The following is a 15,598-nucleotide window of genomic DNA, read 5'->3' as shown; positions in this document are numbered from 1 at the left end:
ACTTATTGCTCTCACATCCACCAAGATAGATGATACCAGATTCTTTAAAACCCACCAGTTGTAAAATTGGTATGAGAATACCAATTATAAAAGATAGTCATGGGAACAGATCTTGTCTTTTTAAAATTTCAGTGAGTACACTGTACAGTATCAGGTGGCAGACAATGTGACTGGCCAATGTACACAATATGAGTGTACATCCCTCTCTTTCCTACCCTCCAGTCCATTCAAAAGAGGGAAGAATCGTCAGCTCTCTGGTTCAGAGCTGCTGTGCTGGCAGAGGGTTCCTGACATTACTTTCCATGTACCAGTTACTTTCGTTACCTCGACAGAGTTATGAATCTGTTACACTTGCTCTTTTCCCTAACAAAAATTATCCACCCTTCCTCTATGCCTGCCCATCATTTAGATAGCACTGAACTCCAAATGTTAAAGGCATGGTGGAATGAAAGACATAATGCAGAAAACATTGTATCTACTGCCAGAAAACTCACAACACTTATGAAATGTAGGTTGCTTTATTCAAGCACTTGATTACATTAGTGCCTGCCTGGTCCAAAGATAAGGACTGGACATTAAAGGAGAGAGAAAGGATCAAGTGTGGTAGAGTTCCACTGGCTTGGTCTCCAGCAGCTCTTTCCTCCCTGGGCTTATGCCAGGCCTCAAGGGAAAAAGAAATTTTATTTAGCAGGAACAGAAGACATTAAGGACCCCAAAACAGAAATTCTTTGCATTATATGTATATGTGGTCATTTACATGTGGCCAGAAATTTGAGAGAAACCCTTTCAGCATTTCTTGAGCTCATGGAGAAATGATATACATGGCAGCAGAAATCTGGTTTCTGAATTCAGACAGACTTGGGTCTGAACTGCAGTTCCTGCAGTTTCTGTCACCTGGAACACATTAGTTCATTGCTGTACATTATTTTTCTCATCTAAAATGAATTATATGTGTGTGACAGGATGGAGTTTTATTTCTTCTTTATCTTCTTTTCTCATCTTCAAACTTGTGATGACAATAATGATTTTCTTCCAAGTCTTAGCTTTTTTTCTTTTTTAAAATAATTATTCTGCAATGTTTAGAGTACACCTAGTCCCCACATTATGAATGGGTTGTATTCCAAAGGTTCATTTGTATGTAAGCCATCTACTATTTTCCAATCACTGAACAGATGCTAATTGCTGGGTGCCTTCCAGTTTTAAAAGGCATCTGGCATTTTAGCAGCTCTTATTACAGGCTCCTCCATCCATTGTCGTGCTGCCCATGAAGACAGTGAACAAGGCAAAAATTTACCTCTCCTGAGATTAAGACTTGAATTTGGGAAAGATTTTTAATAATTTTGAATCCAATCAAATATGTTGCGATAAAAAATTCAAAAACCATCTACACAGTCTTCAGCAAATAGTTTTACTCATGTCCAAAGTATTCCTCAAAGGAAATTGAAAGACAATTTTTCCATCTCAGACTGTCCACCTGATAAAGACACACAGGTCTCTACTGGATTAAAACCAGGAAGCTATACTTCTACTTCATGGGCACCGATTTTTTTCAATCAGTCATCCATCTCTCTTCTATGTCTTCGACCCCTCAAACATATAGCAAAACAGAAAATGTCAGGAGTTGATGGAGGTGGGGCAGTGTGTAGAAAGTATGATTCTCAATAATAAACAGTGAAAGACAATTTAAATAATATGTAGAAGCAGTGCATGCTGGAGAGTGGATAGACTATATCATATGCATCAGGGCTAGAGAAGTTCCTAGCTCAATTAAATAGACCCATGTAACCTAGATATCTTACAGAGATCAGGAAATGGGCTAGGAACTCTGCCCATTACCGAATCTCCACTTGAAGATTGGAGATGGGACTCCAACATTGGACAAATGGGTAGCAGAGTTAAGGGAAATCCATGTATTATTGGCAAACATCCAATCTAGAGACACCTTATTTTATTCAAGCCTGAGTAGAGAGAGCTAAGAAAATATTGGGCATGTTTTTGCAATTCAAAATGATTTTTAAACATTGTTTCAATGAAATAAACCAAAAAAAGTATCTATTAAATAGAAGTCATGTCACAAAGAAAAAATAGACTGAAGTAAAAGAACAGCAGAATAGGGTAAAAACAAAGTTAGGTGAGCTAAAAAAAATTCAAAAACACCAAAATTATAGTAGGAAAATTACAAACCATATTGAAGACAGATGGAGGCAAAAAAAGATAAGACTGAAAAAATCAAATCAAGATTGTGGAGAAAATCCTGAGAAATCAAAGACATGAAAATAGAGAGAGGGGCCAAAAGAGAAGATGATTGCACAAGTCTAAGAAAGAGAGAAATATCTTGCCAATATTTGTATAATTGCCATACAGGCATACCTGGTTGTATTGTGCTTTGCTTTGTTGCACTTCGCAGATATGTTTTTACAAATTGAAGGTTTATGGCAACCCTACGTCGAGCAAGTCTATCAGGATCATTTTTCCGATAGCATGTGCTCACTTGTGTCTCTGTGTCACATTTTGGTAATTCTTGAAATATTTCCTTTGTCGTTATTATTATATCTGTTAGGGTGACCTGTGATCACTGATCTTTGATGCTATTATTGTCATTGTTTTGGGGTACCATAAGCCATGCCCATATGAGACAGTGAACTTAATAAATGTGTGTGTTCTGACTGTCCCACCAACGAGTCATTCCCCGATCACTCTCCCGCTCCTCAAGCCTCCCTATTCCCTGATACATAGCTATATTGAAATTAGGCCAATTATAACCCTACAATGAAGTGTTCTAATGAAAAGAAGAGTTGCATGTCTCTCATTTTAAATCAAAAGCTAGAAATGATCGAGTTTAGTGAGGAAGATATGGCAAAAGCAGAGATAGGCTGAAAGCTAGGATTCTTGCACCAAACAGCCAAATTGTGAATGCAAAAAAAAAAAAAAAAAAAAGTTCTTGAAGAAAATTAAAAGTGCTACTCCAGTGAACACACAAATGATAAGAAAGCGAAGCAGCCTCAGCCACTGCGGTGGCTCACGCCTGTAATCCCAGCACTTTGGGAGGCCAAGGTGGGTGGATCTCCTGTGGTCAGGAGTTCGAGACCAGCCTGGCAAACATGGTGAAACCCCGTCTCTACTAAAAATACAAAAATTAGCCAGGCATGGTGGCAGGCACCTGTAAGTAATCCCAGCCGCTTGGAAGGCTGAGGCAGGAGAACCACTTGAACCCAGGAGGCGGAGGTTGCAGTGTGCCAAGATTGCACCATTGCACTCCAGCCTGGGTGACAAGAGTGAGATGAAAGAAAGACAGAAAGAAAGGAAGGAAGGAAGGGAGGAAGGAAGGAAGGAAGGAAGGAAGGAAGGAAGGAAGGAAGGAAGGAAGGAAGGAAGGAAAGGAAGGAAGGGAGGGAAGCAGCCTCATTGCAGATATAAAATTTACGTGGTCTGGATAGAAGATTAAACCAGCCATAACATTCTCTTAAGCCAAAGCCTAATCCAGAGCAAGGATCTAACTCTTCAACTCTATGAAGGCTGAGAGAGTTAAGGAAGCTGTAGAAGAAGAGTTGGAAGCTAGAAGAGGTTGGTTCGTGAAGTTTAACGAAAAAAGCCAGCTCCATAACTGATAAAAAGTGCAAGGTGAAACAGCAAGTGCTGATATGGAAGCTGCAGTAAGTTATCCAGAAGATCTAACTAAGATAATGATGTAGGTGCTTGCACTAAACAACAGGTTCTCAATGTAGATAAAACAGCCTTAGAGTGGAGGAAGATGTCATCCAGGACTTTCACAGCTAGAGAGCAAACAATGCCTGGCTTCAAAGCTCCAAAAGACAGGCTGACTCTCTCACTAGGGGCTAATCCAGCTGATGACTTTAAGTTGAAGCCAATCTCCATTTACCATTCCAAAAATGTAGAACCCTTAAAAATTATGCTAAATCTACCCTGCCTATGCTCTATAAATGGAAGAACAATGCCTAAATGACAGCACATTTATTTACAGCATAGTTTACTAAATATTTTAAGCCTACTGTTGAGTCCTACCACTCAGGAACAAAGATTTATTTTAAAATATTACTGCTTATTCTCAATGTATCCAGTCACCTAAGAGCTCTGATGAAGATGCACAAGGAAATTAATTTGGTTTCATGCCTGCTAATGCAATATCCATTCTTCAGTCCAGGGATCAAGGAGTAATTTTTACTTTCAAGTCTTATTATTTAAGAAATTTATTTCATAAGGCTATAGTTTCCGAAAACAGTGATTCCTCTGATGGATCTAGGTGAAGTAAATTGAAAATCTCAAGGATAGAATTCACCCTTCTAGATGCCATTATGAACATTTGTGATTAATTTTAAAATATCAACATTACCAGGAGTTTGGAAGAAGTGGATTCCAATCCTCATGGATGAGGGGTTCAAGATTTTAGTGAAGGAAGCAACTGCAGATGTGGTGGAAACAGCAATAGAACTAGAATTAGAAGTGGAGCCTGAAGATGTGATTAAATTGCTGCAATCTCATAATAAAACTAGAACAAGTGAGGAGCTGCTTCATATAGTTGAGCAAAGAAAGTGATGGAATCTACTCCTGGCGAAGATGCTGTGAACACTGTAGAAATGACAGCAAAGGATTTACAATAGTACATAATCTTAGTTGACAAAGCAGCTGTATGGTTTGAGAGGATCAACTTAACTTTTGAGAGAAATTCTACTGTAGATAAAATGCTATCAAACAGTATAACATGCTACAGAGAAGTCTTTTGTGAAAAAAGAAGTCTATTAATGCAGCAAATTTCATTGTCTTATTTTAAGAAACTGCTACAGCCACCCCAGCCTTCAGTAGCCACCACATTTATTGGTCAGCAGACATCAACATCAAGGCAAGACCCTCCACCAGCAAAATGATTGCAACCTGCTGAAGGCTCAGATGAGTGCTAGCATTTTTTTTAGTAATGAAGTATTTTTAAAATTAAGTTATGTACATTGCTTTTTTAGACAAAATGCTATTGCACGCTTAAGAGACTACAGTATAGTATAAACTTTTATCTGCACTTAGAAACCAAATAATTCTTGTGATTCACTTTATTATGATATTTGCTTTATTGTTGTAGTTTGAAACTGAACTCACAATATCTCTGATGTATGCCTGAACCTGAAAAGGAAATCAGTAAGTGCAACAAGCAGTGATAGAGTATTTAAGAGATCTGCTCTGAGCCAAAGACCTAAGTATGCAGATGGAAGGATGTCACTAAGAAAAATCGGAGTCACACATGCATACACATGGAGACACACCCTGGCAGAAACATAAATTTCAAGTGTGAAGAAAAACATTCACAACTACCTACACAGAAGGAAAAAAAAGTGTTCTTTCCATGGGAAGAAAAAGTAGACTGGCTTCTTTTTTATAATACAATACTTCTCTTATAACAGGATACTGATCTATAAAATATAAGCCAAATACTGTTAAGAAAAGTTAACCACGAATAAGCCAGGTATGGTGGCTCATGCCTGTAATCCCAGCACTTTGGGAGGCCCAGGAGGGTGGATCACTTGAGGCCAGGAGTTCGAGACCAGCCTGGTCAACATGGCAAAACCCCATCTTTACTAAAAATACAAAAATTAGCTGGGCATGATGGCGCATGCCTGTAATCCCAGCTACTCAGAAGGCTGAGGCACAAGAATGGCTTGAATCCAGGAGGCAGAAGTTGTAGTGAGCTGAGATTGTACCACTGCACTCCAGCTTAAGTGACAGAGTGAGACTCTGTCTCAAAAAAAAAAAAAAATTAACCATGATTAAAATTTCAGGTTCTAAGGACTTAGTAACATTAAATGCTACACAAAATGAAATTCATGAGTCAAATACTTAGCTCACTTTTAATATAAGAAAGCATTTTTTCTTTTTATTATAACATATGCAAATAATTTAAGAATAATCCTTATGGCCTCTCATGCTGCTACATTGTACCAGACTTAACTTTAATTAAAATTTTCTTTTTCTTCCTCCCTCATCTGTATTTCAAAGATGACTTAGTTATGTCTTTTTATTGAATCGATATAATCTTGACCCTCTTCATGCTAAATAGAAAGCAAATGTCTCTCTTAAGAGTTCCCTAGTGTGTCTTTCACTCGGGGTTTCAATAAATTCAGAGGCCGTTAATAATGTCGCCTAGCAGTTTGTTAAGCATTTCTTCATGTTCATGATTTTTATGAAGAGCATATGAAACTCTGTCTACCTCCTTGTTCTCCACAACTTTTAGTCTTTCCCAAACTGGATGAATATACAGTTTTTGGTGTCATCAAACTCTCCTGTCTCAATTTATTGTTTTCTCGGTCTCCTAGTTTATTGGTGGGTCATACTTTTACTAAACTCTATTAAATAATGGCTCAAAGAATAGGCTGCCCTGTACCAGGGCTAATGAGAAAGGGCACAGTCTCTTTAGAGATCTGGTTTCCAGCATCTTTTTATCCAACTACAGAGACTGTTTCTTTGGGAGAGAATGCTGTGTGCAGATTAGTTCTTCTGCACTGTGTTCTGAGCTGAAGATGGCCTTTCCCTGGATTGGTGCACTGCAGTAGGAGGAAAATATAATTAACTGCACAGCATATGTCCTTAATGGTTTGATAAAGGACCACAAGAAGCATAGTGAAGAAGATGAGTGTGGAAAGAATTCCTTTTTATTAAACCTGGCAGGGGAGAAGGTTTAAGATATTCATTTCCATAGATAAACAAGCCAAAGGAAAAGAACATCTGCTGGGAAGGGCTTCTCCAACATACAGCAGATGTGTTTCAACAACAAAGCATATCCTAGAAGCATTTCAGGATTTAATTATTTAGCTATTTCATTGAGCTGAGGAGCAGGGGGGTGGGGAGGTTGAGGAAGCATATTGTAAATTTACTGAGCCTGGAAATTCAATTCCAAATGTAGTTTAAGCCTCCACATGCTGGCATTTCTCTCGAAACATATGCTAACTGCTTTTTGATACACAGACCCCAACTGCATTCATTCATTTCACCCCACATGTGGAATGGCTATGGCTGCAAATCATTCTCTCCATCATCCCTCCCCCAATGATATACCCCCATTTGTCTGCTGCATTTTTGTAACAACCTTCCATCTTCTTTCACTGACTTCAGTTTTACCCTGTTTGAAACTCTTGTCCTTATACCCTGTTTGAAACTCTTGTCTTTCTAAAGTGCAAATCTGATCATTGTATCCATAAAACAAGAAAGGGAGGAGATGTGGCCTGAGAGATTAAGGAATGGCTAGTCCAAAGCAAAGGAAAATTGATAAGGGAAATGAAGATGGAGTAAAATGCAAAAAACAACAGAGGCTGTCTATAAATTAGCCAAAGGGCTCAGAAAGAAGAGAACAGTTCTGAATTAAGTGCAATACACATGGTCAGACTCCAGCTCTCCTGGGCAGTGCCTTCTCTCAGAAATGATCCAGGTTTTGTGGGGATATATCAGGAAAGAAGACCATGTAATTCTATGTGTGGTTGCCTGAAAGGGTGGCCAAATGAAGAACAAAACAGTCTGATTATAGCAGCCCAAGAGAAGCCAGAACAACCTGATCTGGCCTCCTTTTCATTGTTCTCTACTGCCCACGGTATAAAAGTCTAAAATTCTCAGTGCGGTAAACCAGAACTTCCCGTTCTCTCTTTAGACCCTTCTTCCAAGTTTCTCCTGTGTACTCTGCACTTTAACAAATATTTTTATTTCCCCAAATATATGCCATCTCTATGATTTGCCTGTCTTCTCTCTTCATGGGTTTCCTCAGAATGTCTTGACTACATAGTAAATTCTTGTGAATACCCTAAAGTTGCTTTAGATGTCTTCTCTCTGAAGCCTTCGTTACTCACCTACTCATCGAATCTGTCAGCAATAATCCCACAATCACATTTCATAAGGCCTGGCATTTCACTCTATGTTTAGCAGTTATCCTTTTGTTTTTTAATTTTTTTCATAAATAGAATATAAACTTTTTGAGATCATAACGTGCCCAATTTATGTTTATTAAATGAATAAATGGTGAGTTCGGTATTGCAAAGTCCAGTGTAACCAAGTTGCATAGCATGGGGGTCAGGTGGGGAGGTGAGGATATGCAGAAGCATGTCTTCCCCTCTAACTTATCAGAGTAACAGCTGCGGCCCAGAAACAATGTGGGTTGGGTCTAAGACAGTGGCACACATATCCCATTCCCTGTATTTTCTTTTTCTTCTTCTTTTTTTTTTTTTTCGGAGATGGAGTCTTGCTCTGCTGCCCAGGTTGGAGTGCAGTAGTGTGATCTCAGCTCACTGCAACCTCCGTATCCCAGGTTTTAGCAATTCTCCTGCCTCAGCCTCCTGAGTAGCTGGGACTACAGGTGCACAAGGCTACGCCTGGCTAATTTTCTGTATTTTAGTGGAGACAGGGTTTCACTGTGTTGCCCAGGCTGGTCTTGAACTCCTAAGCTCAGGCAATCCACCCACCTCGGCCTCCCAAAGTGCTAGGATTACAAGTGTGAGCCACCACGCCTGGCCTATTTTTTTTCTTTCAGTCACTATTTTAGTGATGATGCTCTTTAGTTGAGACTCATCTAATTTAAGCAAAAACATCCAGAGTTGGTTGACCTTCAAACAGAGCTTGATCAAAAATCCACAATAAGAGTTTAGGATTCAGTTTCTCCTCATCCCCTCTTGGTTTTTGTTTGTTTGTTTGTTTGTTTATTTTGATGCTGGCTCCATGCTCAGGCTCCCTGGAGAAGCCCGTGGCAGCTTCAGGTACAGTGTGCCTTCATTGTTGGCTAACCCAAAAGATGAGAGAGCCTGTCTCTTACTTGGAAGTCCCCGCAGAAGGTTTATTGCTCTGATCACAACATGAAACCATCTCCAAAATGGTCATCATCACCAAGTGAATGTGAAGTACTCATTGATCAGGCTCAAATCACAGGTTCACCTCTGTAGCTTGCTCCATTCAGAATGTGTAGACAGAAAGTAAAGAACAAAGTTGTTCCTTACAGATAAGAAAACGATATAATTTTTTGAACAAACTGGACACATTTGAGAGTTAAAGGGGAGACTTAATAATTAAACTAGGGCATAAACATGAACTGCACTGTCCAGGAAACCAGGATCCATCCTCATTCTACCCATTGGAAAAGGAGAACACCATTACCAGGGTTAATAAACATTGTTAGGCAACAATAACACACAGCCACAAGGGCCATGCCACATGGAGTCATAGCTACATACATATATGTAGCTATGATTGCTTCAGCTGGACAAAGTGTTTTAAAACTTTTATTTTCTGTAAGTTCACAGAAAGAACTCTTTACTGCTTTGATAAAACGTATTACTAGTTCTAACTAGTGGATAGCTTTGGTTAATCTCTTCACTGATCAGGCCTCTGTTCTCTCATCTCTTGAACATGGGTGTTGGACTGGGACTCATTAGCATTCTCTCTGGCTCTTTAGTTCCCTGGGATGCCATTATGATTCTAGGGCAGAGGCAAGGCTAAATTCAGTTTGATTGGGAGATGATTGACTCTTGAGACAGACTGTATCACACACTTATAAGTGCTTGATTCCATGTGGCAGATTTGATATTTTTAAAGCCGTAACAACAACAATAACAACAGCAACAACTATCATATATCAGTGCTTACTTACTTTCTGCCAGCAACACTAATGAGCTCTTTATATCGTATTTCATTTATTCTTACCCAACTAAATGAGAGAAGCATTAGTACCCCCATTTTATAGATAAGGAAACTGTCACTTTCACCAGCTGTTCAGCGAATACTTATTGAATGCGTGTAAGGCTCAGTTCTAGGAATTGAGGAAATAGTGATGAACAAGACAGTCCAGGTCTTAGACTTCACACAATTTACATGAAGCCATTAGGGTTTAATCATGAAGATGGAATCACAACAAATGATATTAAATAAGGCATTATTCAACCTTACACAATTGTGGGAGTTGCTGGGAATATACAGTTTTTAAAAACCATCAGAATAGAACTTAATCAGCTCTTGAGTGAGTGAAAGAGTGGCAATAGGCAAGTCTGGCTCCCAGAATGGTATAGAAGCCTGGCTCTTGGTGGCTGCCCCCCTCTGGGGGTTCACAGAGTGGCACCTGGTAGGAGCCTGTGGTTGTCATTGGTCTGCAGGGCTGGACGTCAGAAGGAGGCCTTGACATGTAGTGAGGAAAAGAGATGACAAGCTGGAAACTACTGGCCTCTTTGCATCTGTCCCTCACCTCTTCTAACTAATGATGACCTTTGGAGAACATCGGCTGCCACTTCACTCTCACCTCTCAAATCTCATGCAGGAAGTTCTGACGGCCAACCAAATGCAGCCTCAACTCACCCTCAGCTTAGCTAAATTGACAAAGGACAAGACCACTGTGGGAAGAGTTGGGCGGTGGCAAATTAAGAGAAACGGACAATGAGCAAACAATAAAATGAAGATGAAAACATCAGATACCAATGTGTTGAGAATTACAGCATGATGCTATGATCAAGAGTCACTGCTGGCTACTTTAGAAGGGGGCTGGGAAATTTTTCAGAGCTGGCAAATGAAAAAGCAGAAATTCAGTCCTGAACAGTGTGACTCTGGAGCCAATTCCTTTATTTTATACACAGCTTCTATGTGAACTTGAATGATGATGATAATTTTCCGGAAATGAAGGGTATGTCTTTACAAGGACAGATTTTCAGGCACCTTCTCAGAACAACTGGATCAGAACCTCAAGGTACTGGAACTTGTGGTTTTAACAAGTACCTGGGGTGATATTTAGCAGAACAGACCAGTTTAGAGAACACTGCACCAGCGCTTCACAAAGGAGTAATGAATTCCTGAAATGCATTGCTCACAAGTTCCTGAAGAGACGATCAAATCATCCCTGGGTGAGTTTGAACAACTAACCCTTCAGTTAACAACCAAACGTACTAAGCAAGCGCACCACAGAGACAACTGTATAGCTTGGCTGTGACTTTAGCTGTAACAGAGAAGTCTCTTTTATGTGCCATTTTGTCTGGAATAGCACACAAGCACCAGTAACATGCATACACATACCATCAACTTCTCTGATTAATAATAACTATATATGTGTGTAGGTGTGTGCATAAAAACTGTGTGTGTGTGTGTGTGTGTGTGCACGTGTGCATGTGTACGTGTTCAGAAAGCAGAGCCTGCAAAGATTTTTAACTCCTCGAAGGTACTTAAAAAGCACTGTGTTTAGACACCTCAGCAACTCCCTCATACACCTGGGAGAGACATGTGAATAAAAATGTGCTTCATTCATCTGGAAAGGCTTTCAGGCTTTAGAAACACAGTCTGAAAGGCGAAACTTCACCCACAGCAATAGGAATCTGTCAACATGAATGGAAACGTTCACTCTTCCCAATACTGAGGGCTTCCAGGGGGATTAATTGTTTAATATTCACAAAGGACTTTGAAGATAAAAAGGCTCACATAAAGGCTGAAAATGAACACTCTTTATTTGCTTTTCTCATCCTGTAGTTGAATCTGCAGGGCCGCCATGTCTTTGAAGCAGCTCCAAGATTATAATAATGATGACCACCCTTGGAGTTAGGAGAACAGAGTAATCAGGGAGGAATAACTTAACTTCAGCTATAATTTTAACAGCAAAAGTAAGGACTTTGGGACCAAACAGAATCCTGACTCTATGACCTGCCAGCTGTGTGACCTTGGGCAAGTTCCTCACCCTCTCTGAGATGCTAGTTTGTCAGCTGAAAACTGAGATAATTATAGCTACCTGGTTATTGTTAGATTAGAGGTGATTTAAAGGATTTAGGTAAGTACATCGCTAGTATTTGTGCAATTATAACATTGTTGCTACTGCCAATGTTAGAGGAATATTAATGAATAAGGTTTCCAATGTTTGATGCTGCAAAAGCCAATATTGATCCTAATTAAATACAAAAATTAAAAGAAAGAGTAGGAACAAACCAAGCTGACAGGCAAAAAATGTGTTGAATCATTTGTGCATATGTATGTGTGTCTAGTAGAGGATTCTGCTAGTATTTACTCAAGATTATTAAATAACTTTAAGTAGTCCTTTATTCCATAATTGCTTTATATTCCCGCTAATATCCCAACTAATTTCTTTAATATAGCTCTGCTATCAACTCTCACTCAGACCCTTGTTGCCATCTTCAGTGTTTCTGCAGTGTTTCTCAAGGTTGAGAATTTAAAGACTTCCGTGAATCCATATGAGAAGCTTTGCAATAAATGGAAACTCTGGCATATCATGACCCTGAGCTATAAAAGGCTGTCAAAAGAGAAACTTAGGTTTTGAACCTAACCCTGTCTCCATCTCGTTTAGACACTGGGGGTCATCTTTCAATTTTTTTCAATGTGGAGCACTCCAGGTAAGGAAGTGGAAGATGGCAGGGAGAAGCTGGAGAACTACAGTGTTTACTCGGCTTTGAATAATATCTGGATTTAATCTAGGTGGGCACTCACCAATCGCCACTGCTCAACCCCTAATATATTATCTTCTTGGGTTTGAGGCTGCTTCCTTGATAAACATCAAGAAAGTAATGACTGTGGCCTAGGATTCCCACCACCGTGCCAATCACAGCAACTCTGTGAATATAGTAGTTATGCACATATGGATGTTAAGCCAGACTGCCATGGAGAGAAAAAGAAAATCAAAGTCGCCAATAGGTCCATTTTCTCAAGTTTGAAAAACATTGGTTTATCATGTACTGGCTTATAGTATAAGCCACCCAGCTACTGTGATGGGTACAGATTAGGCAACTTGGCATCTTTAGAACATGATGCCTGAAAGTTTGCGCAGTTATGGCTCTTCAGAAGTCAGGAAAGAGTTCTTTTAAAAAAGAATAGAAACCAAGAATTTCTCTGTGGTCTCCTTTGTAGATTGTCATGTTACAGGAAGGAGTGGAAAATAGGTGGTTCGAGAAGGTAGTTTACAAAATCTCGTTTAAAAAATTCTCCCTCTCTGAGTCAGGCTTAGAAAAATTACAGGGACACAATAATTGATGTGTATGTGGGGTATGGGGAGGTTCTCATCCAGGAACAATATTAATGATAAATAGTTCACCAAAAAACTACCTAATTGTTGGCAATCCAGGAGAAAAAAAGTTTCAATTAGGATGCAGAAGATGAGTTTCAGTACTACCTTTAACATTAATTAGCTCTGTGATGTTAGGAAACTCAATTAAACTTTGCTGGCCTTTTAAAAAAATTTTTCTTTGTTTGTTTTTCATCTGTAAATTGAGATGGCAAAAGAAATTTCAACTAGACAACTTATTAAATTTTGACAAGGATTCTTTTGCATACAAATATTTTTCTCCAAGGACAAAACTCTAATTAGCTTCCCAGTATTCCTTTTTTTTTTTTTTTTTTTTTTTTTGAGACAGAGTCTAGCTCTGTCACCCAGGCTGGAGTGCAGTGGCGCCATCTGGGCTTACTGCAAGCTCCGCCTCCCGGGTTCACGCCATTCTCCTGCCTCAGCCTCAGAAATCAGAGACACACACAGAGAAACAAAGACACAGGTGTCAACAGATTTCTTTATTTTTTTCAACTTTTATTTTAGATTTAGGGGGTACATGTGCAGGTTTATTAATTGGGTATTTCATATGAGGCTGAAGTTTGGGGTATGAATGATCTCATCAAGCAGGTACTGAGCATAGTGCTCAACAGTTAGTTTGTTAACGCTTTCCCCGCTCCCTCCCTCCCCTCTCTAGCAGTCCCCAGTGTCTACTGTTGCCTTCTTTATGTCTATGAATACCCAACGTTTAGCTCCCACTTATAAGCAAGATCACTCATATTTGGTTTTCTGTTCTTCCATTAATTTGCTTAGAATAATGGCCTTCAGCTGCATCCATGTTACTGTAAAAGACATGATGATTTTGTTCTTTTTTTCTTTTTCTTTTTCTTTTTTTTTTGAGATGGAGTTTCACCCTACTTGTCCAGGCTGAAGTGCAGTGGCACGATCTTGGCTCACTCCAACCTCTGCCTCCCGAGTTCAAGCAATTCTCTTGCCTCAGCCTCCTGAGTAGCTGGGATTACAGGCATGCACAACCACACCTGGCTAATTTTTGTATTTTTGTAGAGACAGGGTTTCACCATGTTGGCCAGGCTGGTCTTGAACTCCTGACCCCAGGTGATCTGCCCACCTCTGGCTCCCAAAGTGCTGGGATTACAGGCGTGAGCCACCACGCATGGCCAATTTTGTTCCTTTTTATGACTGTGTAGTATTCCATGGTGTATATATGTCACATTTTCTTTATCCAATCCACCATTCATGGGCACCTAGGTTGATTCCATGTCTTTGCCATTGTGATTAGTGCTGTGATGAACACACGAGTGCATTTGTCTTTTTGTAGAATAATTTGATTTCTTTTGGATATATACCTACTAATGGGATTGCTAGGTTGAATGGTAGCTCTGTTTCAAGTCCTTTGAGAAATCTCCAAACTACTTTCTACCACAACTAAAGTAATTTGCACTCCCACTGACAGTGTATAAGTGTTCCTTTTTCTCCACAGCCTCACCAAAATCTGCTGGGGTTTATTTTATTTTATTTTTTAAATTATAGCCATTCTGACTGGTATGAGATGGCATCTCATGGTTTTGATTTGCATTTCTCTAATAATTAGAGATGTGGAGCATTTTTTTCATATGTTTATTGGCCACTTGTATGTCTTCCTTAAATGTCTGTTTAAGTGCCATATGGATTCTGGATATTCAACCTTGGTTGGATGCATAGTTTGCAAATATTTTCTCCCATTCTGTGGGTTGTCTGTTTATTCTGTTGATAGTCTATTTGGTGTGTAGGAGCCCCTTAGTTTAATTAGGCCCCACTTGTCCGTTTTTGTTTTTATTGCAATTGCTTTTGAGGACTTCATCATAAATGCTTTGCCAAGGCCAATTCCAGGATGGTGCTTCCTAGGTTTTCTTCTAGGATTCTTGTAGTTTGAGTTCTTACATTTGAACCTTTAATCCATCTTGAGTTAATTTTTGGAGATGATAAAAGGTAGGGGTCCAGTTTTATTCTTCTGCATGTGGCTAGCCAGCTATCCCAGCACCATTTATTGAACAGGGAGTCCTCTATCCATCAGTTATCTTTGCCAACTTTTTCAAAGATCAGATAAATGTAAGTGTGAAGCTTTATTTCTGGGTTGTCTATTTTATTCCATTGGTCTATGTTTCTGGTTTTGTATCTGTACCATACTGTTTAGTTACTGTAGCCTCATAGAATAGTTTGAAGTCAGGTAATGTGATGCCTCTGGCTTTATTCTTTTTGCTTAGAATTGCTTTGGTTATTTGAGCGCTTTTGTGGTTACATATGAATTTTAGAATAGTTTTTCTCCAATTCTTTGAAAAATAATGTTGGTACTTTGATAGTAATAACATTGAATCTACAAGATGGCTTTGGGGAGTATGGCCATTGTAATGATATTGATTCTTGCGATCAGTAACTATGGACTTTTCTCCATTTTTTTGTCACCTTTTTTTTTTTTTTTTTGCAGTATTTTGTAGTTCTCCTTGTAGAGATCTTTTACCTCCTTGGTTGATGTTTTCCTAGGTATTTTATGTTTTTGTATGGCTACTGTAAATGGGATTATAGTCTTGTTTTGGCTCTCTGCTT

This window comes from Homo sapiens, chromosome 8 (genome assembly GCF_000001405.40).
Source record: "Homo sapiens chromosome 8, GRCh38.p14 Primary Assembly".
NCBI classification, from domain to species: Eukaryota; Metazoa; Chordata; class Mammalia; order Primates; family Hominidae; genus Homo; species Homo sapiens.
The sequence above is the reverse complement of the archived record's forward strand: the minus strand, read 5'-3'. Positions refer to the sequence as shown.